Here is a 25419-nt window from a genome sequence, read left to right as displayed (position 1 = left end):
GCTCGGTGGGTGGTGGTTCTCGTCTCCGAGTGTGGACGGTGAGTGTCGGCGCTCGGTGGGTGGTGGTTCTCGTCTCCGAGTGTGGACGGTGAGTGTCGGCGCTCGGTGGGTGGTGGTTCTCGTCTCCGAGTGTGGACGGTGAGTGTCGGCGCTCGGTGGGTGGTGGTTCTCGTCTCCGAGTGTGGACGGTGAGTGTCGGCGCTCGGTGGGTGGTGGTTCTCGTCTCCGAGTGTGGACGGTGAGTGTCGGCGCTCGGTGGGTGGTGGTTCTCGTCTCCGAGTGTGGACGGTGAGTGTCGGCGCTCGGTGGGTGGTGGTTCTCGTCTCCGAGTGTGGACGGTGAGTGTCGGCGCTCGGTGGGTGGTGGTTCTCGTCTCCGAGTGTGGACGGTGAGTGTCGGCGCTCGGTGGGTGGTGGTTCTCGTCTCCGAGTGTGGACGGTGAGTGTCGGCGCTCGGTGGGTGGTGGTTCTCGTCTCCGAGTGTGGACGGTGAGTGTCGGCGCTCGGTGGGTGGTGGTTCTCGTCTCCGAGTGTGGACGGTGAGTGTCGGCGCTCGGTGGGTGGTGGTTCTCGTCTCCGAGTGTGGACGGTGAGTGTCGGCGCTCGGTGGGTGGTGGTTCTCGTCTCCGAGTGTGGACGGTGAGTGTCGGCGCTCGGTGCGTGGTGGTTCTCGTCTCCGAGTGTGGACGGTGAGTGTCGGCGCTCGGTGCGTGGTGGTTCTCGTCTCCGAGTGTGGACGGTGAGTGTCGGCGCTCGGTGCGTGGTGGTTCTCGTCTCCGAGTGTGGACGGTGAGTGTCGGCGCTCGGTGCGTGGTGGTTCTCGTCTCCGAGTGTGGACGGTGAGTGTCGGCGCTCGGTGCGTGGTGGTTCTCGTCTCCGAGTGTGGACGGTGAGTGTCGGCGCTCGGTGCGTGGTGGTTCTCGTCTCCGAGTGTGGACGGTGAGTGTCGGCGCTCGGTGGGTGGTGGTTCTCGTCTCCGAGTGTGGACGGTGAGTGTCGGCGCTCGGTGGGTGGTGGTTCTCGTCTCCGAGTGTGGACGGTGAGTGTCGGCGCTCGGTGGGTGGTGGTTCTCGTCTCCGAGTGTGGACGGTGAGTGTCGGCGCTCGGTGGGTGGTGGTTCTCGTCTCCGAGTGTGGACGGTGAGTGTCGGCGCTCGGTGGGTGGTGGTTCTCGTCTCCGAGTGTGGACGGTGAGTGTCGGCGCTCGGTGGGTGGTGGTTCTCGTCTCCGAGTGTGGACGGTGAGTGTCGGCGCTCGGTGGGTGTTGGTTCTCGTCTCCGAGTGTGGACGGTGAGTGTCGGCGCTCAGTGGGTGGTGGTTCTCGTCTCCGAGTGTGGACGGTGAGTGTCGGCGCTCGGTGGGTGGTGGTTTTCGTCTCCGAGTGTGGACGGTGAGTGTCGGCGCTCGGTGGGTGATGGTTTCCCTGTCACCCACCCATCCCTCACGCGGTTCTGTGTCCTTGTCATTGAGTACTTGGCACTTTACGACTTCTGCTTTTGATCAAAACGGATACCAGTTGAGTGGACTTCATCTCTGAAGAGGGAAGCCTAAGTCAATAATCTTTTTTTCTTTACTGAACTCTGATGGAAAACTATCAATCCCTAGGACTATTCTGAATTACATTTACGAAGTTTGGAGGTAGATATTAATAGTCTTGTACTTAATCTCTTTAAAGCAAAAAGGAATTTTACATTTTCTAAAGGAGTATAATTTTCATTGGTCATCTTTTTTTAAGAAAACAACAGTTTCATTAATCTTGCTTGTTTTCAGATATTTTCTTCTTCTTTATAAGCTGTTTGATATATTAGAGTCAGTGCTGTAAAACCATTTGTCCAATGCTTTAGGCATTTGGTTATAGTTTCTTTGTCTGCCAAGCATTTTTCAATAAAGCTAGTTGTTGGCTCAAATGGTCTTAAATGTGAAATTTATTAACTTCAAGATGACCCGTGGCCTACATATTTTCTTCATTGCATGTCTTATCTGCTAAAGTATTTATTTTATTATGTTTTAAATTGATAGCTATAAACTATGCTGTTTGGCATCAGGGTAAACTAACATACTATTGTACAAATAAACAGTCCAAGTCATTTAAAAACTTTTGGTTATGGAAATTTTGAGACATATCTCCAAACCGAACAGTCTGACAAATCCAGTTGACCTGTTGGCCGACTTAAGCAGCGATCATCTCACAGCCAGTCTTGTCTGATCTGTGCCCCTGGGCTCCCCACTGCCTCTGAGATCTGTTATTTTGAAGTAAATCCCAGATATTCGATCATTTCATCCATACACAGATAAGATAAGGACTGATTTTTTTTAAAGAAACGTAATCATAATACCATTATGAGATCTGGAGAAAGTTAACAGTAATTCCTTAATTTTATCAGCTATTTAGTCAATGTTCAAATTCTCGTAGAAGCTTTTTAGACAGTTTGTTCGTATCAGGATTCAGTCAAGGTCCACACATTACTTTTGGTTGATATGTCTCTTAATTAAGAAAAATAAACCTCTCTTGAGTCACTTTTGGTGCTCAGTGAAGTGGTTGTTTGCCTGTTACCCACCCATCTTTAAATGAATAAATCGGGTTTTTTGTTCTGTAGATTTTCTCATATTCTATATTTTTCAGATAGCTTCCTCATGGTGTCATTTAACCTGTTCCTTTGTCCCTTATGTTTCCTATAAATTTGTGGTTAATAATGAAGCTATCAGTTTGAGGTTTGATTTTATATTGTTTACTTCCATCAGGAGATACCTTATGTTTGGTTGTCTCTGCTTTTGATGATAAGATTGAAAATTGAATTCAAGTGTTATCAGCTTGGTATACCCTTTAAAAGTTCACCATAAACTTTTCATCTAATGGTTTTAGCACCATTGGTAATTGTTTTCATAATCTATTTCTTATTAGAAATTGAAAATAATAATTGTTAGCTGGAACACTAAGTTTTTTTCATTAAGCTCTGAAGTACAGTTCATACAGGAGGGGCAGGATAGATGCCTGATTAGTTAGCAGTTTTCAGAATGAGTTGGTTTGCTAGTATTTCTCAAAGGTCATTACTAAGGTATTTTTTTATTTTTTGATTACCTTTATGAAGTCATGATGTAAACATAATTTGATGAGCTTCAATTCATTGTAGTTGATTTTTTTTTAATTTAGTTGTGCCCTCTTTGTGGGAGTCTCTTCAGGTGGGCCCTGGGTCCTGACAGTACAGCCTCGCCATAGGGTGCCATGTTCCACACTCATGCTGGTTTCCTTGCTTCGTAGAATCAGCCGTTGGGAGGAATTGATGGAATATGAAATATGAACATCTTCCTTCTTCTCTTTTATTTCTTTCCACACTGTGTCTCTGTCCACCCTGTCTACCCCCAACTGGCTTTTTCTAACCCCATAGCTCTCGTTCAGTCTCACCCCAAAGTCAGTTCTACAGCTGGGCGGGCTGTGGCAGCATCAGTCATGGTCCCTTCTCATATTCCAGCAGCACCACCACTTCCATTCAGGTCATTGCCAGCTGGACCTGCTCCCACCAGGCAGGTGAGAAAGGCTGCCTGCGTTCCCTCTACCGTGGTCTCTCCGTCAGTGAGGCGCTGGGGAAGGTGTGTGTGTTTCTTCTGTCATATTCTATATCTGTACTAGGAACTCTGAGAATTTAGGCTTCTGAGGTGCTATGGAAAGCATTAGGGATTTTTTGTCACTTGACCTGGTTTTGTTTATCTAATTATGGAGGGACTCTCTCCAAAACTCATTTACATGCTTCACAGCTGTGTGCCCTGTGGTACACAGATAGTGACAGATACTTGCGTAGATGCTACCGTCTTGGCATCCTCTTCCCCCAGCCCAGCTATTATTTCCTCCTGGTCTTGGCTACATTTGGTGTGAATGTTAGCCCTGAATTTGTTGCTGTTCTTAAACAGTTTAGTCAGAAGACTTCGTGGGGCATTGGAAAACCTGCCTTTCTTTTGATCCCTTGGCTTCAGGCCTGCCCTGCAGAGCCAGGGAAGCCTCTGGTGTCTGCACATATGATGACAGCTCAGCCAGCTGTGCCACACAGCTCTGTTGGGCCGGGGCTAGGGGTGCAGTGATGGAGCTAGACGAGCTAGCTCTGTGCGTGGGAACATTGAAAGCTGACAACGAGCGCTGCAGTTTGGATCATCTTCATGTACGCGTGGCCTAGCAGCTGTCTTCCCTCTCCTCCAGTGCCGCCCCAGAACCAGAGCCTTAGGTCACAGTTAGAAATGCGTATTCTCCCAGCGTCAGGAGCAAAGATGGCCTGCTAGAACAAAACCACTTGATTAGTATCTTTGCCCTCTGCGGTAAGGTGAGATTTAATGAAACGCTTTCAGGACTGTCTCAGTATTTGGATGGGTGGAGTGCACTGGAGTAGCGTAGGGTTATAGACAGTTCCAGATTATTCCTTTGAACTGGAAAACTGAAAAACGTTCTGCTTTCCCAGTTATTTATAACATGCCTCACAGTAGACAGCTGAGGCTCCAATGATTTCCAAATGTTATGGTTGGACTTCCTAACAAACCAAGTCACCATACGCCTTGGTAGTTTAGTCGCTGGTGAACAGAATCTAAGGGATTAAATCACAACAGTGAACCTAAGGACGGGCAAGTTTTCTAAAAGAAACCCCCGGAAGCCACTTGGTGCTCACTGCAGATACCCACCAGCTGTGTGCGTCTCTCCTTTGTTGTTGGAAATCGTTGTATGATTACAGTCACTCTGGCTTCTCGCTCCCTCCTAGGACCGCCCCAGCTGTGTGCGTCTCTCCTTTGTTGTTGGAAATCGTTGTATGATTACGGTCACTCTGGCTTCTCGCTCCCTCCTAGGACCGCCCCAGCTGTGTGCGTCTCTCCTTTGTTGTTGGAAATCGTTGTATGATTACGGTCACTCTGGCTTCTCGCTCCCTCCTAGGACTGCCGTGTGCCCTGTCACCCTAGCACCCTGGAGCCACACTGGCTGCATTCAGCCCTGAACCTGCTGTCTGTGCTCAGGGCGTCAGGGTATCAGTCCCTGGGTAAGCCTGCCTCCTGCTGTGGTGCCGACATTCTAAGGATTGTAGAGAGCAACAGCCATGACAGGAAAGCAGGGGACAGACGGGGAGGACAGAAGACTGTGTGGACAGGACGGACAGATGTTAAGACATGAACTTTTTTTCATGTATTTTCATTTACCTTCAATGCCCACATTTCCTAACCTACCTTCCTGGTTTTGTTTGCGTGTTTGTTTTTCTTTGTTTCTGGGGTAGGGTGAGGTGGAGTGGGGTGGAAGTAAGTTATAGTTCTTAATTGCCAACCTGGGGCAAGGGAAAAGTAATTCTTAGAGCTCAGCTGAAAAATGTGTATTCCAAGTATTCCTGCTGTTATACCATAACAATGTTATAAATTTGTTTCTGGCATGATACTGTATAAAAGCCAATATCTTTATAGTTTCATCAAAAGCAACATAATTCAAATGCCTTTATTATGGCTAGAACTGAAAGCAGTTTTAAGAACTGTTCGTTTAGAGCGAAGCCACCAGTGCCTAATGTTTTCTTTTAAGCTGTTTGCATGCGCCGATCTGGTCATTGGCTTCTGGAACTTCATGGAGAACTCCCTGCCCTCAGAGGGCCCTGCCTCCCTGGCTCCCTCGCTCCCCTCCGACTCCGCCCTCCTCCCCTCCTCCTGGGACATCACGGGGCTTGACCCAGGGCCTGCCTGCTGGTTCTCTGTCCTTTGGGCTCCTCCCCCACACATCTGCCTGTGGTGTGTGCTCCTCCCCTGGCCTCTGCGTCCCTTGGGCTTCTCCCATAGACATCTGCCCCAGGGGCGACCCCTTTGGCCTCCCTGGAGCCCCTGGAGCAGCTGTGTCTTCACAGCCCTCGCCCTGCAGCTCCTAAGAAAGCCTCACATGCACACCAGGGGCTCCAAACCACGCGCTCAGAGCATGGGAAAGTGGGAGCAGCGCATGGATTTACTCATTTTAGTAGAAAATGAGCATCTGATAGAATTTGTTAAGAAAGTTAAACCACAGAGCAACTCTCTCTATGTTTCCTGTTTTCTACTCTTGAGGTCATAAATGCCATCTCTGTGACTTTCTCCCAAAACCAGGATAGAACCTTCAAGATAAAAGGTACTTGGTAAATATTGGGTAATCATCTCCAATTTTCTTAACCACCTTCTCTTAGTAAGCAGCAAAAACTAACCCCAGAATACTTACAGGGCAGCTTAGTAGTTAGTAATAAATAGTTACTATTTGTTCTAAACCTTCAAGGTGGAAAAATTTTGAGTGTTCATTGAAAACAACTTGAACATTTCCTAAGAGACCACAGTAAAAGGGTTACTTGTCGGCCTGGAAGAGGCAGAGAAGACCTATCACACCCCTTTCTTTTACAGCCAAGGAAACTGAAGTCCAGACGAAACACTGTCTACAGCCGTCAAGGAGCATTTGGTTGACAAACTGGGACTTCTGCCTCTGCCTCCTAACACTTTTCAAAAGTATATCATTTTTCAGCAAGCTAATCAATGTGCTTAAACTCTACATTGTATCAAGAGTCTAAAAATAGTACAATTAGCATAAAAAGCTCAGTTTGTGGCTAGATTTTTAAGTGTGTGGAGCAAGAGACATCAACAAAGCAGTTTGTGTCTATGGGAGCAAATTAAAGGCAATGTTATTAAAATCCTTATATTGCAGAGGATATTTACTTGAGACTTAGATTCTTTTTGTATCAATTTACTTCAGTTTTCTCATAATATCACATACTAATAATCAAAATGTTTGAGTGACAACCAGAGTAAATTCATAAATGTAATATATCTGAAAACCCATTTTTCTTTTTTGAAATTGCTGTCATTTCTGGTTGCAAATGGTGTGACAGCCTATGATTACAGTAATAGGGACTTTAAGGATTATACATAGAATGCATGTGACTTTTAGCAAGTTTGTGTATTGAAGGAATTTAATAAGAGGTTTTATGGAATCACAAAAGCTACCTTCATGGACTTTAAATATGATGGATATGAAAGAAACTAATATTCTTGTACTCTACGGTCGGGTTGTATTAATGAAAAGAAAAATTGGTGTGTGTGCTTGGACTTTCGTTTCTTCTCATTTTCCTCCTTGGTTTGTGCTGGGGCTTCCTTTTTCATATTCTGCTAAGGAAAACAGGTTCGGCAGATCATTTAGCCTCACTGGGGCTGTGCTGCTCGTGGACACGTGGGCCGTGTGCAGCCGCACTGCACGTAAACCGTGGGTGACCACGCCGTGCTCTTGGTACGGCACGTGGTCTGGCTCTTCCCCACGGGGACTGGAGCACACTGAAGATAACACACATGCAGTGACCCAGTTCCATTCCAGCCTGTGACCCAAGAGAATGAGTGTTTATGCCCGCCAAAAGACACCACCAGCTGCATTCATAACGGCTCTGCTGGAAATACCTGAAAATGGGAGCTGGGAAACATAGAGTCGCAGAGTCGGCCTATTTTGTGGGGTTTAAGCGTCCATTGTTGAAAATAAAATGCCAGACGACATTTTGCTTTGGTTCATATTGAAAACCTCATGGATTTATTCAGGTATTTCATTTGGTCCATTTTCAAATGAAAATATTTTACAGTTTACTTACTGCTTTCACATACATTCTTGTATGTTATCTTCACACCAACCGTGTTGGGGTTAGATACTGTTTTCCCCATGTGGCAAATTTTTAAAATTTGGAGAATCAAGAAAGGCTGTGTAACTTGCTCAAATAAGGGAACTAGGCCCAACTTTTCATCTCCAATTCTAACTTTATCACTCTTACCAAGAAACATGTACAGGGCATGGGTCAGACCACGGGGCTAACAATACGGTGTCGTTTTGTATATCTTCATGTTTGTAAATACAGCAGACCCCTGTACGACAGATAGTTGGGGTGCCAACCTGCTGTACAGTCTGAAATCTTTGTTTACCCCCAGAATTTAACTAGGAATAGCCTGCTGTTGCCCAGATGACTTATTAATAACATAAACAGTCTGTTACATATTTTACGTATATACTATATTCTGTATTCTTAAAGTAAGCTAGAGAAAAGAAAATGCTATTAAGAAAATCATAAGAAAGGAAAATACATTTACTACTCATGAAGTGGAAGTGGATCATCATAAAGGTCTTCATCCTCATCTTCACATTGAGTAGGCTGAGGAGGAAGAGGAGGATCGGAGCTGGTTTAGCTGTGTCAGGGGCAGCAGAGGCATGAGAAAACCCACCTATGGGTGGACCCACGCGGTTCAAACCTGTATTGTTCGTGGACCAACTGGAATTGAGTTTGCAAAGTACTGTGGGCCTTCCTCAGTCCCAGGTGCTGTTAACAGAGCTGAGAAGGGGCTCAAGGACCATGGCCTGGTGGCCCTCCCCTGCTGACAAAAGGGCAGTGGCTTAACCCCAAGGAAGAAGACTGTGTGTGTATATGCACCTTGCCCTTCTGACAAACACCAACCCATGAGGGAGAGTTTCCAAGTATGGCAAAGCTGTGAATGAACGATAAAGATACCAGGAAGAGTAAAGGGGTTGCACTTATTTTTGGATAAAGCATCTGCACAACAGTGTACCAGGCACGAAGCAACAGATGTGGCGGAGTGATGCGAGTGATCATTGATACTGAAGACGGGAGAACAGATGAGTCATTGCTAATAGAATCTCAAGAGAAATAACAAGCAACATGGAATTCAGTATTTGAATGAGATTTTCTTAGAAAAAGAAACAAGTCTATGAAACGAGGCACTGTTCCTGCCCTTGCTGCCCTGAGCCTGTGGGCCTCATTGGTGACATCCTTGGAGTGCACTCTAAGCTGGCCTTGCAGCTTTAGAAACGCAGGCCCCTGCAGGTGAGCGGCTTGTCCCGCTCGGGCTGGGTTCAATCCAGATGCCCCCGTGCAGCCCTCTCTTGGCCTCACACTTCAATGTCGTCAGTCCCAACAGGGTGCAAGGCCAGTGCTTTGTGGTTTTAGCCATCTAAACAGATGTGTGGCATATTCAAAAATTAGTCTCCTTAAATGTATGCATTTCTACCTAGATTTCTTACTCTGTAAATGGGACTTTAAAATCCCAGTTAGCAATTGGGTTTTCATATTTTTTTTTTGCCTTCCATTTTATTATGACTCAAAATTGTTTTTAATTTCAAGGTGTTTTCTTTTTGGAAGGTTTTACGGCTATTTCTTCAATTGCATATGGACCCCCGCTATATTGAGAATAGGAGCTATACCCTATTACTTCTTTCCCGTGCTCCACGGTAATGACTGCAGTCAAAGGGGTGCGGGACCCGCTCAGCAGCAGGCACGGCACTGCCTGGCATTTTGCACCATCTTGCGTGCCAGGCCATGGCAGGAACCCTTCCCAGCATTCACTCGTGTAGCCACAGGGACCACGCAGGAAAATAGGGGTCAGGACCCCAGCTGCTTCCAGACCTGCTTCTCTCATAGCAGTCATTGGTTTTGATCTCAGCTCATTAAAATCTTTAAAAACAAAAACAAAACACCTTCTTGAAATTGTGAAAATCAACAGTTAACCCAGGCCTGTTTATGAAGTAGTATGTCCAGAAGTAACACCTCACAGTGCAAAACAAACGCATTCATCTGCATGTATAGAATGAATCCTGTTTTCTTGTCACTTTCACTTTTCTAACTGAAGTTTCCTTGTAATGAAAAAAAAATTTCTGACAAAAAACTAAATTCAAACAAATGGTTTGTCTGTTTATATTAAGTTAATTAACTTTCTACCTTTATGTCTAAAATTCAGTGTATCAAGTTTGTGAAACGTATTCTATGCTAAGTGTGTAATGAGTTCTGTGACATCTTATGTTAGGATAATTCATGGTCTGTTCTACACATCAGACTTTACATTTTGAAATGAGAGGGGAGAGTTTTTTCCACTTGCGTATATTTGAGTCTTGAAAGCTGTTTGTCTATGAAGTTTATGAATCTAAACTCTTATGAATATAAAGTCTTTCTTACAGATGGGAAAAAATAAACCATGTAACCATTTCACTGTTATTTTCACTGTTGGCAATGTTTTCTCTTTTCTCGAGGAAAGAGTTTTCCTATTGAGATTGATCACGCTGATCAATAAGAGATCCTACTGATGAAAGCAATGAAAAAAAAAATCCTGGGATGGAAAACAGAAAGCAGGAGAGGGCGAAGGTACCCATTCATGTGCTACATAGGAAGGGTGTCCTTTCCTCAAATAGTCATTGAAAAAATCCACTTTAGGGCAAAAGACATTTATCAATTTGGGAATGAGGGCACTAAAACCTGACGAAGGGGAACTTAAAACTCTTTAGTTAGTCCAACAAGAGCTGATTTTGCTGCAGAATGGTTAGGACTTTCTCTCTGTTCTACTAATAGTGATACAGTTTCTGGTTATCTTTTTCTTTTTTTTAATTAGGCAGTAATTTCGATAATGTGTGTTCAGAGTGTAATTGAATAGATAATTCACTTGAAAAAAATACACCAAAGTTTTTTCAGTAGTGTTTCAGTTTGACAATAAAAAAAAGTACATTGTGGGATATTTATAGTATTTTTGAATCTATTTTTACCAGTAGACTGGGAGTGATAACTGATTTGGGGCATAGGGGTTAAAAACAGGAAATGTGGTTTATACAGTAGGTAGTATCTCCAGAGTTTCCAGGGTTGATTTCTTATAGTATTGTCTGAAGAGTGTTATGCGTCAAAACAACATTAGGCCGAGTACCTTGAAATCCGCCTGTGTTTAAAGGAGCCGTCTTTCCAATTACAACAGGAAATGCTTCATGGAAAAGTTTGCATTCTTGGTATAGGTTAAGATGGCATAGCAGTTGTTTATTGTAATTACAACACGTTCTTCCTCTCCAGCACTTTTCAGACACTTTTTATACAGTCAGAGTAAATCTTGTGTCACTTCTAGTAAATTTCCTTCAATTTTCGTATTAAAATTTTATTTTATTTTCATGAAAAGTTTTGTCAAATAGCTGTTAAGAATGTTTTAAAATAGACTATCATAGCTGAGGAGGAGCATATATTAGGGATACTGTTAATTACAGTAATCAGAGAATCCAAGTTAAGAGGATAAAAAGGCATGAAGAAATAGGAGTATAATTCTGTGTGGCCTTTTGCATGATAGGTTGGCAGAATCCATGAAAACTGAATAGCTTGATTACCTTTGCACTCAGCAATTCCACTTCTGGGAAGATATCTTACATAAACTGTTGTATTAGAATCCAAGAATCTATGTTTATTGCAGCATTATTTATGGTAGTAAATTGAAAGGCAACATAAGTTCCCCATAGTAGGAGAATGGTCAAATAGATTATGATACATCCATGCTAGAATACTAAGCAGCCATCAAAAATTATAAGGTAGATACGTATGCACTGAAGAGCAAACAGGTTGTTTGCTTAAGTCAAAGACCTTCACAGACAACTTACCAAAGTAAATATGCAGATGGAGAATAAGCATATGAAAAGATGTTCCACATTGTGTGTCATTAGGGAATTGCAAATTAAAACAACAGTAAGATACCATTGCACACCTAGTAGAATGGCCAAAATCCAGAACACTGAAAACACCAACTGCTGGTGAGCATGTGGAGCACCAGGATCTCTCCTTCATTGCTAGTGGGACTACAGAATTACCCAGCCACTTTGGAAGACAGTTTGGCAGCCTCTTACGAAACTAGACATCCTCTTACCATATAATCCATGATTGGCACCACTTGGCATTTAGCCAAGGGAGTGGAAAAGTTACATCCACACAAAAACCTGCACACCAATGCTTGTAGCAATCTTATTCATAATTGCCAAAACTTGGAAGCAACCAAGTAATCCTTCAGTAGGTGAATAAATGTGTTACGGTCCATCTGGAAAATGAATATTACTCGGCACTAAGATGAAATGAGCAAGGCATGGAAGGAACCTTAAATGCATGTTACTAAGTGAAATAAGATAAACTGAAAAGGCTGCATATTGTGTGATTCCAACTATACGACACTCTGTAACAGGAGAAACTATGGAGAGATTAAAAAGATCAGTGGTTGTCGGGGGTTACTGGGGAAGGAGGGAGCACAGAGGAGTTTTAGGGCAGTGAAGCTACTGTGTGTGTTACCGTAACGGTTGGTACCTGTCGTTATATATTTGTCCAAACCTGTAACATGTACACCACCAAAATTGACCCTAATGTAAACTGTGGAATTTGGGTAATAATGACACATGTCAGTGTAGGTCTTTCGACTGTAACAAATGCACCCCTCTGGTGGGGATGCTGACAGTTGGGGCGGCCGTGTGTATGTGGTGGCGGGCGGGACGGCATATGTGAAATCTCTGCACCTTCTGCTCAGTTTTGCTGTGAAACTCAAACTGCTCTAAAAAGTATAGTCAATTAAAAAATTGTTATAGATTACAGAATGAAATTTAGCAAGTTTCAAGAAGAGAATGTGTAACATCTCATTTTTTAGGAAAAAAATATATTCATAGGAAAAGATCTGGAAGAACATACACTAACCTGTCAATAGTGGTTATTCCTAAGAAGGATGAAAGAGGAGTTTATTGGGCAACTGTGTTCTTTACAATGAGCATTTAATTACTCAGTTTTCTGAATAAAAAATTAAGGACGAAGACTTGGTGAATCCAAAGTGTTCAATATTTTATTCTTTAATGTCGACCTTCTCTAATGAGGTTTCTCCAAATTATTAAGAAGAAGAAGAATCCTGTCTGCCTGTAGAACACTTTTTATTTTACAAAGCATTTTCCCATAAAGAAAATCAGAAGCTCAGATTAACTGATTTTCCAGCTAAGATTTAAATCCAGGTCATTCCAATACATAGCTAAACATTATGTGGTATCAGGTACTGCTGGGCATTATTCCCATGAGATCAGCACTAAAGGAACACGAGCACCCACATGCAAAGGGGATCATTTTTTCATGAATGATTCTCATCAAGCAAAAGCCCTCTCTTTCTCATGTAAGCTTTGCTGTTTGCCTGAACAATTGTATTTCATGCATTTGCTTTCTTGCACTGTTTAAAGACAGTGTAAGATTCTTCTCTCCCATGTGCAAGATGGTCATTTGTCATATTAAACCTGGGTGTGTCCCTACTAGAGTGCAATCCCTGGGAGTGCAGGAGCACTCTGTGTGTGTGTGTGTGTGTGTGGGGTCACTGCTGTGGTGTGTGTGGGGGGGGTCACTTCTTTGTGTGTGTGTGTGTGTGTGTGTGTAGTCACTGCTGTGTGTGTGTGTGTAGTCACTGCTGTGTGTGTGTGGGGGGGTCACTGCTGTGTGTGTGTGTGTGTGTGGTCACTGCTGTGTGTGTGTGTGGGGGGGGTCACTGCTGTGTGTGTGGGTGGGGGGGTCACTTCTTGTGTGTGTGTGTGTATGTGTGTGTGTATGTGTGTAGTCACTGCTGTGTGTGTGTGTGTATGTAGTCACTGCTGTGTGTGTGTGTGTGGGATCACTGCTCTGTGTGTGTGTGTGTGTGGTCACTGCTGTGTGTGTGTGTGTAGTCCCTGCTATATCCCCAGCCCCTGGAAAAGTGTCCTGCATGTAATAATAATGGACACTCAGGAAGTATTTTTAATAGTGTGCCAGTTTGCCTGTTCCAAAATCAAGTGACCTTCCTATATGATTAAAAGAGGAAACTGACAAATATACCAAGAAAGAAGGCTGCTCTACTATTTTGATGCATGAAAACAAGATCTTCGTTGCTGGAGAATATGCTGGGTTACACCGGCTGGCTTACAGGAAACAGCCTACAAGTTCTTGCTCAGTAGAGATGAGCCTTGTTTTCTCCATGGGGAATTTCCACACGGGGCTACTAGATTAATTGCTAAGTGGTAGTAGTCTAGGTTGATACTGTGTGGGTGGGGACACTTTTTGTCAAATATCATGACACATTCTAATTTCATATTCAGACAGTGGAGGAGATACATGTTGTAAATGCTTAGAAACTGTTTCTCATTCCCTCGCTTGAACAACATGGAAAGTTGTGGGGGTTTATTGAAGGGGAACCTTTTTAAAAACAGTACTTATTACTGCAGCATAATAATGTAGCCTTTAACTCCAAGGAGCAAATCCGTTTGCCTTGTATTTTTCTTGGCACACTGTCCACACTGATGATCCCTCCCTAATACTGTGTGCACCATACATTTGGCATTGTATGGCCCACTGTTGTTGGAGCACAAACTGAAACTTAGGTTTCCCTGCACACTTACGTGTTCACTCCATCCTGATATACCTGGACATCTTCCTAATATCCAGCACGTGCGGAGCATTCAGCAAATACCTAATGACATTATTTCAGTATATTGCTGGAAAAATAAAGCATATTTTGGAAAGCAAATAGATTAAGCCTCAGCAATATTCTATACTACTGTACTTACTTTATTCAAACTATATTTTTCAAATGGATCCTGATGCTCAAAAGGACTGTCTTTGTGAGAAGCGAGAGATTGTATGCTTTCCCAAGGAATACCTTCTTTCCATGTATGCCGAGGCACTTACTTTTAGTAGATGACGCAGATATATTCTGACTTGAGCATTATAGAATTCTACATATATTTAGGTTTTTCTCTGATGTGTTTATTCCCTCATTCATTCACTTATCAACTGCATAAGTCTTCAGAACTTAGTAGTGAGCAAGACAGACATGGTCTTTGCCTTCCTTTGTTTGTCATTCACGGATATTTTTGAACATCTTGTGCCATCTGTGTGCCAACCTCTGTGATGGGAGCTGAGGCTATGATGAGAAGGAGAATGGCAGATGATCCCTGTGCTGTGGAGTGTACGGTCCAATAGGAGAGACAGTTGTTCACTGAGTGATCACACAAAGGACTGCAGAGCTGCCCCAGTGGGACCGGGGACACAGTGCCCAGGAGGACAACGGTGGATCCAGGCAGCACCTGGGAATGCAGAGTGGGGTGGGGCGGGGCCGTCCTAACACCTCCCGCTTGTTGGCTGCCTGCTGTCTGGCGGATGCCTCCCTAGCCTCTTAAAAACGTTATTCCACTTAAATGTTGTCTCTGTTTTACAAAGGAGAAAGCTACAAGTCAGAGCAGTCCAGAAACTTGCCCCCAGGTGACTACTCAGTAATGAGTGTCTGAGGCCCAGTCTAATTCTGTCTGTGTCCCCCGATCCTCTTCGCTCAGGCCACGGCTCAGATGTCGCCACAGAAGCAAAGTCTTCCCCAGCCATCACCGGCATTTGACATTGAGCCATTCTCAACACCAGTGCAAAGTATGGTGAGAGTTGAACGGAAATTCTAACTTCCAAGGACTATGTATGAAACCAGCAAAATGAGGAGTACTGTCAAGGACAAACGTTTCCAGTTCTAGCACATCACAGCCATATTTCATGTTGTATTCGTGTTTTTTTTTTCTGCCGTTGTTGTGTTCCTATATGCAAACTCAACTGTTAGCCATTCCTTGTACCACTCAAAAGAATTAATGTACAGCCAGGATCTGCAGCAGCTAGACAGTCATGGCAGGACCATTGTCCAAACTTAATACCTTGCATTTCAGAAAGAGAAATCAGTGTGCTGTTTCTAGTCATTATGCTTTTTAGTCAACTGTTATGTCTTTAATTTTAAATTAACACCTGAAATATGTGTACTACTTTAGAATTGGCAAGATGCTCCTCCCCACTGACCTGTAAGCTCTCTTAGGGTGGGGGGTCCTGTCTGTTTTGCCCACTTTCTTATATCACCACCTGTTGATGCCCAGCACATGATAGATACACAGCACGTGTTGGAAGAATGGGGGAATTGCACACACGTGGCATTTTCATAACAGCTTCGTTAGCAAAATGGGTCTCGTGATCTGTCTGTTTCGCAGAGTAGGCAGTTGTCTGAAAGATAAGCTGAGTTGTGGAAGGTCATACGATTGGTGTAGGGTTAGCCAGGAAATTCCATCTCAAGTGTTCTTTCTGTCACCTCAATAAACTTAAAAGGAATTATCAAGCACTAACGTTACTGATAGTGACATTGGAATGAAATTCAATGGGAGGAGGACATATGCCACCAAAAATAATTGCAGCATGGCCCCTCTGTCACCGTCACTGGCCCTTTGAAAAAGGTTCTGTCACCAAAAATCAGATTCTGGTCCTGCCGCCAGGAGCCACAACTGAGGTCCTTTGAAACTCATCCCACACATCGTTCTGCCATCACCGCGAGGCCTCAGCCGCTTCCATAACGGATGCACACGGAGCCCCTCTCTGACGGCCTCTGCCTCACCTTCTCCGTCTGACCTCCCATTTAAGGAAGAGACTGCGAGGCCGCAGGCGAGCCCTGCATCACCGTACGTCACCGTCCCAGCCCCTGCCTGGTCTGGGCCTCCTCTCAGTGTTCGCATGTGCATGCCTTTACCCTGGCTGCCAGCACCTTCCTCTGCCCAGTCGGGAAAGCACGTGGCTACTGCTTTTGCCAACGGTGTTGGCCGTCAGAGCTGCATGGAGCCAGCGAGCCGGGCCACCCCAGCACCTGTCCCAGCACGGGCTTCTTTGGACACAGGTGTTTGAAAGAGCTGACATCCTCCCACAGACAGATTTTGGATAACATTTTGAAACAGAAAACAAGCAATTGGAAGTGAGTGCTTTATGGGAGTAAAAGTCTTACTTGGACCCAAGAGCCCACGGGACAGGCTGAGGAGGAAGGCGAGGGTGCGGGCGTGCTACTCGGCTGGTCTCTCCCTAGGCCAGTACCCAGCTGTGGCCGGAGTGAAGAGAGAAAGGAAGCGAAATTCTGAACGAGGAAGACCACAGAGATCTTACCGGTTTCCCAGACACGGACACTATCTGGTCTCTAGGCCCTTTGCCCTTCCTCTGTTCCTATCCAGTACTATTCTTTAACCGTTTAAGGACTTCACAAAATAAATATAGCAACCAAACATATAACAAATTATTTTAAATTGAAGTATAAATTTTTTTATGTTTAGTTTTTGTGGGTTCATAGTAGGTGTATACACTTAGCAGTTACAAGAGAGATTTTGATACAGGCTTGCAAATGCGTAATAAATAAATACCACATCATCAGGGCAAATGCGTAATAAATACCACATCAGGGTAAATGGGGCAAAGATGTTTTTTACAACATGAAATTCTTTCATATGGCCATCCTGCATATATTGGCAGGTCAAACTTGTAATAACTAAGCACTTTGGGGTCTTACATATACTGGAGATGTATACGTGTTCTACTTGGAGCACCATATGCCTTGAGCACCTCTGCCATGTGCCTAGTGGCATCCTCCATGTAGTAGGATCTCAATGAATTTATGTTAGTTGAATGAATGAGAACTTTTAGCCATTCCCTTAGAATGAACAATTTCAGCCCAATCGGTAATAAAAAAAAAAAAAAGTACTTGCTCCTGTATTTAATTCAGCGATTAGCTTTTTGGAGAGAGACCATCAATGATTTATTTTTATATTAAAGTTTTTGTTACCAAAAATTATAATACCAGCACAGGCACTGCACTGGGAGGTTATGATGGCAGCTCGCAGAGCTCCGCCTCACTCCGGCCCTTTCCGATGCATCCAGTTGAATGCTGCCTCTTTGAACCTCACTGGCCTGATGTGTGGTTTGACTAGCGGTACCACTTCCTGTCCACACAGGACCACACATTTTTCCCTTCTCTTTTTCCAACATTACCAGTTATTTGTATGAAGCAGTTATTTCGTTTTTTTGTGTGAGGGGAAAGAAGGCAATTATTTCCTTTTTTTCATTCAAAAAGATAAAATCTAGAAATACAAAAGTTCTTTCTTGTCCAAGGTTACGTCTTTGAGCTCCTTATATTATCCATGTGAAACCTGTGCTCGACCCAAAATAGGAAGCTTGATTTTTTTTTTCCAAATTTTCTGCCCACAAAAATATGGTTCTTTTGGTTCAAAGGGTCCTGTGCCTTTATTCTTCCCATTCATAGCTTTGTCTTCAGAATTGCATTGAGCAGTTTACACTTCACCTCTTTTACGGGGTGTCTTATTAGTAATGCTTAGGCGGGTGGGTTCTTGCCAGGAAGTGTTTATGATGTCGGGGTCCGAGTGGGAGTTGAGTTCACAGCAGGCTGTCACTGAGCATGTGACACCGCCTGGCTTCACTCTAAGTATAATTTTCTGCTTTTTAGTCAGCACTCTGCCCCCACTCTTTTCTTTTACATTGAGGAATTTCAAAAGTTAAAAACTGCCTTCGCATTTCCAGTCATCCTTGCACCGTAGCACATCGTTAGAGCCCCAAATCCTGACACTTGTTCTTGCAGGAGTGTTGACAGGACCCCGGTTCTCACTGAGGGCAGAGGCTGTGAATTTTTTATTCTGTTCCTTAGAGCATCGAAAATAGCAGCTTACTATTGTGCTTCGATTTTCAGTAAGTATGTATGTTACCTGTGCGTCTACATGAGCTGGTCCTCCATGGCGTGCGGCTTAGAGACCAGACCTGAGCATGTGGATCTCCGCCCCTGGGTGGGGCTGCCCAGAGGGTATGAGCGGCGAGGCCAGGCCCCAGTGCCCCCACAGCAGCGGGAGCAGTCTGGGGACACCGGGGGGTGTGGCTTTCCTCCTGCGGGAAGAAAGCCTCTCTGGTCTCCAGACGAGTTCGTTTATTTCACTTTCACTTACAACAGGCTCTTTCTGTTCTTCTCTCCTGCCTCCTAGATAAGACTTCTTACCTTGCAATTATCCTTTTTCTCAGGAAGAATCCATTAATTTCTGGATTATATTGAATTACTCTTCACTCAGCCATCTCAGCAAAATAGACTTAATAAGCACACTGTTTTTGTTTTGAGGAGCCAATATATATACATAGATAGATATATCTTTTATATAGAGATATATATATCTTTTATAGATATATATATCTTTTATAGATAGATATATCTATCTATATATATCGATATATATAGATATATAATATATAGATATATAATATATATAATATAATATAGATATTATATATAGATATATATAATATATATAGATATATATAATATATAGATATATATAATATATATAGATATATATAATATATAGATATATATAATATATATAGATATATATAATATATATAGATATATATAATATATAGATATATATAATATATATAGATATATATAATATATAGATATATATAATATATATAGATATATATAATATATATATATAGATATATATAATATATAGATATATATAATATATATAGATATATATAATATATATAGATATATATAATATATAGATATATATAATATATATAGATATATATAATATATAGATATATATAATATATATAGATATATATAATATATATAGATATATATAATATATATATAATATATATAGATATATATAATATATAGATATATATAATATATATAGATATATATAATATATATAGATATATATAATATATATAGATATATATAATATATATATCTTTTGAGGAGCCAATAGATATATAGATATATAGATATATATAGATATGTATATCTATATGTCTCTATATATATCTCGATATATACCTATGCCCTTGATATTGATCTGTATATGAAATTGGCTCCTCAAAAGAAAAACCGTGTCCTTATTTGTATACCGTAGTGTGTGACACAATCAAAACCTAGTTCTATATTTGGAATATGCAAATGCCCGTTCAAAAGGTTGATTATAGTTCTTGATCTCTATCTCAACTTTCCCAACTAACCAGTAGCGTGGATGAGACTCTGGGAGAATATTTTCCTTAATGTTGTTACTGGGAACATCCATGCTTTTACAGTGCAGCATTTTCCCTGTTCTATAGAGGAGATGTTCTCAGTGTGTGCAGCTCTAGAAGGCATCTGGAATCTCCCACTTCAAGGGAAAGGAATTGTTTTGGAAACACAATAAAACAGTATTTTGTTTTTATGGGGTTTTTTTCCTGCAAAATGATGATAATGAAAGCTCTTAGTGAACGCTGTGAATGCCAGGACCTATGGCATGCATCCCCCTTCATCCTCACTGCAGCCCCCCAAGGGTGGGACAATTATTATTCTCCTGTGACAGATGAGAAAACTGAGGCTCACAGCCTTCTTGCCAAAAGTCACAACTAGCAGCTGTCGAAACTGGGGTTTGGTCCCCAATAGTCAGACCTCAGACCCCACATTCTTAAATCCTGTGTGTTTCTGCTTTTGAGCAAAGTGAGGCTCATTGAACTTGTACCTAAAATCTGATGTTTTATTTTGTCCAGGCTTTAACTTGCTTACAGAATCAAATTCAGTTTTATAAGGAGTTTCTCCTAAAAGTGATTCCTTAAGACAAAAATGGTCCTTCTGCTCAATAACTTGACTTTCACCTTTGGTAGTAAGATGCTATAATTGATATTTAATGTGCATTTTATAAGCATTGTTAAACACCCTCTGTATTTTGTGTTACTGCTTATACTGAGTGTGTGTGTGTGTTTTACAGTATATATGTTTTACCGTATATGTTTTACAGTGTGTATATGTTTTACAGTATATATAGATACTTATCTATATATATTCTCTGTGTGTGTGTGCGTGAAGAAACTGAAGAACATTCTTAAATTTTCATTTTGAGGCCGACTGAGAGCCAGTTATAGAGAACATAAACAGTGACAGAAATGAAAAACAATAAAAGAAAACTTCTCATTTCTTTTTTTTTCTTTTTGACCTGTATGGAAATACTCCTTTCACCATTTGATTCTCAAAAGGAAATAGTGGTGGTGTTACTTTCTGTTTCTCCTCAGAAAACTCTAAAGCATGGGGTACAGCCTGCCAGCAGGGGAGGGGAGCTTGTGTTATTATTAATGCCTTCTTTCTCTCCTTTATTTCAATTTCAGGTGTCAGAAACTATTTAAAAGAAGCACTGGTGAATATAATTGCCGTGCATGCAGAGGTAAAGTATCATTAGATGTTCCTAAGAGATATGGATAACCAAAAAAAAGAAAAAAGAAAGATGTAAATTTGATTATTTCTATGGTGGTCTTTTTTTTCCCTCAGAATGTGTCTTGGGTATAAATAAGATACAGTTCAGCTCTTGCTCGCACTGTCTGTCTCTCTCTGTCTCTGTGTGTGTGTGTGTGTGTGTGTGTGTGTGTGTGTGTGTGTGTTTAACTGTGAGTCTTTCTCTGAAATTGTATGTTTTCTTTGATAATTCCAGCTAAATTCATAAATATTTGAAAGGTGAAGATAGATTGCAAGGATGTTTATCCTTCAAAGAATAGTAAATCCCTTATCTTGGAAAATGAATTAACCTCTTTTTAGCCTGTGTACAAATAAGCACTGGTATCTGATTCCTGTAGCAGTGGCTGGGATTCCAGAAAGGCAGACACTGCTTAGAAAGAGACTCGGGGCAGGCCGACACTGGAACAGATGCGTGGTTTCCTGTCCGTGGTTGACTTAGGGTCATGCAGACAGTATTGGTGCTTCTGGGCCATGCGAAAACTTGCTCTCACTTGACACGCTTTCATCTTAAGCTTTGTGTTAACATCCTCAGTGAACATCCTGGTTAGGAGGACTCTTCTGAGGAACATTGAAAGAAGAGACCAGAGCTACCACCATGATCTATGGCTGCCTGTTTTCATTCAGTCATTTCAGGATTTGTTACTCACTGCTTTGCCAACACTTTGAGAGTGGCTGTGGCTCACAGACTAATGGGGGACCAGATAAAGTGGGGCAGATCAAAGAGGCTACCATTCAGTCGTTTCCACCGTTGCCCAGGTGCCTCTTGGGCGACAAGCATCCAAGAAGGGTGTTTTTAGGTTTATGCCGCCTGCTGCATCCAAAAGTATCTGAGGCCATCAAGGTAAACTGAAAAAACATGGTTAATTAAGAGTGAAACCCGAATATGACCAGGGAAGACAAAGATAACACTACCTGGTTCCTAAATTTGGCTAGAAGTTTGAAGCGCCAAGAGCAGAAAGAAAACTATAGAACGTTACAGTTTCCAGTTCTTATGAAAGGGAAACATACAAATTCATCTCTAACAATAGAGTTTTTATATGATTTAACTCAGGCAGGAAGTCACCACATAGATCTTTTTATAAGGAGCAATATTTTTAATTGTGATCTTATAAAAAATATAAAAATTCTGTTTTTGTTATGGTAGCATCCTATAGAATTTGAGCCCAAAGTGCAAATTTAGGTGCAGTTGTTGCAAGCATTTCTTCGGTAGGTGGGCAGAACTGTGAGATCTGTGGAAATTGTAGTGATGGTGCTGATTCCTAGTGAGGCAGCTTTTATTAATGTCTATTATCAATTGCCATGGGCTTATAATGACTGAAAGGAGAATTTCATTCATAGTATTTACTATTTGCTACATAATCTTAAATTGCCAAAAATTTCCTTGGACACTCAAGTTATGTTTGGGTTAATTCAAATATTTAATGCTAGTGGCTCAATCTGAAAAAAGGAAAAGCTTAAAAAGAAAATATGATTTACTGTCATTTATGAGTCAGCAGAGTCAGATGTTTCAGTAAATCTCCAAAGACAGTAACTCTCAGTTTGAAAGTCTCAAACTTTAAGGTTTGAAAATAATGTAAGTCAAATAAAATGAAATACATATTGAGTACAGTATGTGTAAAATTGTGGAGGGGGGGCTTGTTCTCCAATACAGAATGGGGTACCCCATATGAAATGGTGTTTGTCAGAGTTTAAGGAGAGTCTGACACAATATTTTTTTAAATTGTGGTAAAATATTGACCCAGTATGTTCTTATTTCTCTAATTTCTTCTTTAGAGATGTTTCTTTCCAGTGAAAGGGGCAAGAGGCAAAAGAAATGTTCAAAACAGTTTTTATTTTGTCAACATCAGTAATGCCTTTCAAAATTATATTTGCCAATATTGTATTTTTAAGAGAATTTTTGTTGTTAATCAGTCAATAGAATTTAAATATAAGTCTGTATCTTCCTTTCATTTATAATTTTGGCCTTTTAAAAATGACTTAGAAGTCCTGTTGATTTTCTTTTGTTTTGTTTTGAATGTTAACTTTGTCTTTAACAAATTCAAGTCAAAAAGCCCCACAAAGCACCATGTCTTCCTATTTCAAACCAGGTGTTCACCATTTCCAAAGAACTGGTCCCTCGGGTACTATCCAAGGTGATAGAAGCAGTTTCTGAAGAGCTCAGTCGACTGATGCAGTGTGTTTCATCCTTCAGCAAAAATGGAGCTTTACAGGTAACAAAATCATTCAATTTCATATTGAACTTCTGTTGTTATTTAAAGCATATAAAATGTTTTTAGTCATCAATCTTATGATATGACAGGCTTCTTTTAATGGATCTACTGATTGAAGAAGTTCATATTCTTTCTTGCATAAGCCATACCCATGAAGCATTGTCTACAAGTTTCAGAGTTTCTGTTTCTTTACAGTAGAGCAAGATCTTAAAGACTTCTGCCAAATTATCTGAATGCAGAATCCTTCAAAAGTTTTGTGATTTTTATTTTTATTTTCCAACTATCTTCATGACATTCCATTCCGCAGGAAATTTTTAACAACTTGCTTTTAATAAGTCTTTTGAAAGCATTCAGTGCAGTTTGCATAGAAACAACAAATAACTGTCTCTTTTGTTTAAATTACATAATTATAACTGCCGTAAACACCAGTTGACTTTGGCATGCACATAACCAGCTGGTAGTTGCTAGGCATGCCTGCAGATGGAAGCGTGCACTTCTGCCTGGGAGCTCCTCATGTGATGGCTGGCAGCGTGGCAGTGAGTTTCAAAAAGCAGTGCCCTTCGTCCAGCCATGGCTGAGGAAGCTCCTATCAGGCCAGCCCACCACAAATAACAACTGTAAACTTAAATATCAAAAAATAAAATTTTTTTTTTAATTTTGAAAAAATCCCTGAAGACACCAGAGAACGACCATTGGTGGGCAGATTCTAGAGGAAATGGCACCCGCATGAATTTCTTATTTCTTATGGATTTTAACCTAAAGCCAGGTCCAGGAGTGCCTAAAACTCCAAGACAAAACGTGCTTTCTGGCTTGAAAAACAGGCTTTGGAGCAGCCACAACTACGGCTAGGTGAGAGAGGTATCCCATAGAGGAGTCTCTCCATATGCATGGTCCGACTCCACTCCAGCCAGCCCAGCGAAGGCTAGAAGAACTGAAGTAAGAATTGGATGCTGCCCAAGAGCCAAGAGTTAGAGTCCAAATAAGTTAACTGCTTGCTAAAACAAACAAATAAAAAATCAACAGTCCTTAGAGATATATTACAGAATCCAGAGTCTCCACAGCATAACATTCACAATGTCCGGGATGCAAATTTAATTGAATTCAAATTTAATTGAAATGCACAAATAACTGGGAAAACACGACTTATTCCTAATACAAAACATGATCACCTGAAGCCACCCTTAAGATGACCCAGGTATTGGAATTAGCAGACAAGGATTTTAACACAGCGGCATCAGATGATGTAAAGGAAACTGCGCTCCTCATAAATCAGTAGGTGGGAAATCTCGGCGGAGAAATAGAAACCCTAAAACAGGAACTAAATGGAATTTCTGGAATGGAAAAACACAGTAGATGAATTTTTAAAAATCTACTAGATGATAATAATAGATTTTTTAAAAAGTCAGTTAACTTGTAAACCAATAGAAATTATCCAGTATGAACAACAGAAATAAGGATAATTGGGGGAAAAAAGCAAGCGGAGCTCTCGACCCGTGGGACAATGTCTCAATATCCAGCATGCATGTAATTAGATTTTCAAAAGTGTAAGAATGACCCATCAGCCACATGAAAGGATGAACAACATCGTTAGTTAGCAGGGAAATGAAAATTAACACTACAATGCGATGCCATCACACATCCATCAGGATAAAAATTAAAGACTGACTCTAGTAGACGTCGGCAAGAATGTGATGGAACTAGAGCTCTCACACGTCATCGAGGACGCGATGCAGCAACTGCTTAGGGAAGAGCTCCTGCACTTTCTTCTCAAGCTAAACATACACATACGTACCCTATGACCCAGCTATTCCGATCCTAGTTATTTAAGCAAGAGAACTGAAAACGTATTTTCAGTTTCGTATATGTTGTATAAATGTTACAAAACATTTGTAAGAATGTTCACCATGGGTTCGAGACACAAAACATATTTATAAGAATGTTCAGGCCGGGCGCGGTGGCTCACACCTGTAATCCCAGCACTTTGGGAGGCCGAGGCGGGCGGATCACGAGGTCAGGAGATCGAGACCATCCTGGCTAACACGGTGAAACCCGTCTCTACTAAAAATACAAAAAATTAGCCGGGCGCGGTGGCGGGCGCCTGTAGTCCCAGCTACTCGGGAGGCTGAGGCAGGAGAATGGCGTGAACCCTGGAGGTGGAGCTCGCAGTGAGCCGAGATCGCACCACTGCAGTCTGGCCTGGACGAAAGAGCGAGACTCCGTCTCAAAAAAAAAAAAAAAAGAATGTTCACCATGGGTTCGAGAGGAGCCTGGGCAACATAGTAACACCTTGTCTCTACAAAA

At 41.9% G+C, this 25419-nt stretch overlaps 1 protein-coding gene across 17 annotated transcripts in view, besides 1 other annotated feature; it reads left to right on the top strand.

Annotated features, from left to right (window-relative positions):
* Window positions 1-25419, top strand: part of EXOC2 (exocyst complex component 2) — a 207986-nt gene that overhangs the window by 172655 nt on the left and 9912 nt on the right. For 14 of the 17 annotated variants that reach the window (NR_073064.2, XM_017011022.2, XM_017011023.2 and 11 more), the window contains 2 exons: window positions 20785-20840; window positions 22996-23118. Coding sequence is in view for 16 of the 17 variants with exons in the window: in XM_017011022.2 (XP_016866511.1) it covers window positions 20785-20840; window positions 22996-23118 (179 nt within the window). In the remaining variant the exon portion in view is untranslated. Of the gene's footprint in view, window positions 1-6367; window positions 12591-20784; window positions 20841-22995; window positions 23119-25419 lie in introns of those variants that run through there. The other 3 variants (XM_017011025.2, XM_047419016.1, XM_047419017.1) reach the window with 1 other exon arrangement.
* Window positions 3040-3230: a silencer, noted in NCBI's record as "fragment chr6:517255-517445 (GRCh37/hg19 assembly coordinates)". NCBI's record gives its function as "represses an EF-1alpha promoter that drives an FKBP-Casp9 reporter gene in an ReSE screen in K562 erythroleukemia cells {active_cell/tissue: K562}" and the evidence as "EXISTENCE:reporter gene assay evidence [ECO:0000049][PMID:32094911]".

Source organism: Homo sapiens, chromosome 6 (genome assembly GCF_000001405.40).
Source record: "Homo sapiens chromosome 6, GRCh38.p14 Primary Assembly".
Lineage (NCBI taxonomy): Eukaryota > Metazoa > Chordata > Mammalia > Primates > Hominidae > Homo > Homo sapiens.
The sequence above is the reverse complement of the archived record's forward strand: the minus strand, read 5'-3'. Positions and strand labels throughout refer to the sequence as shown.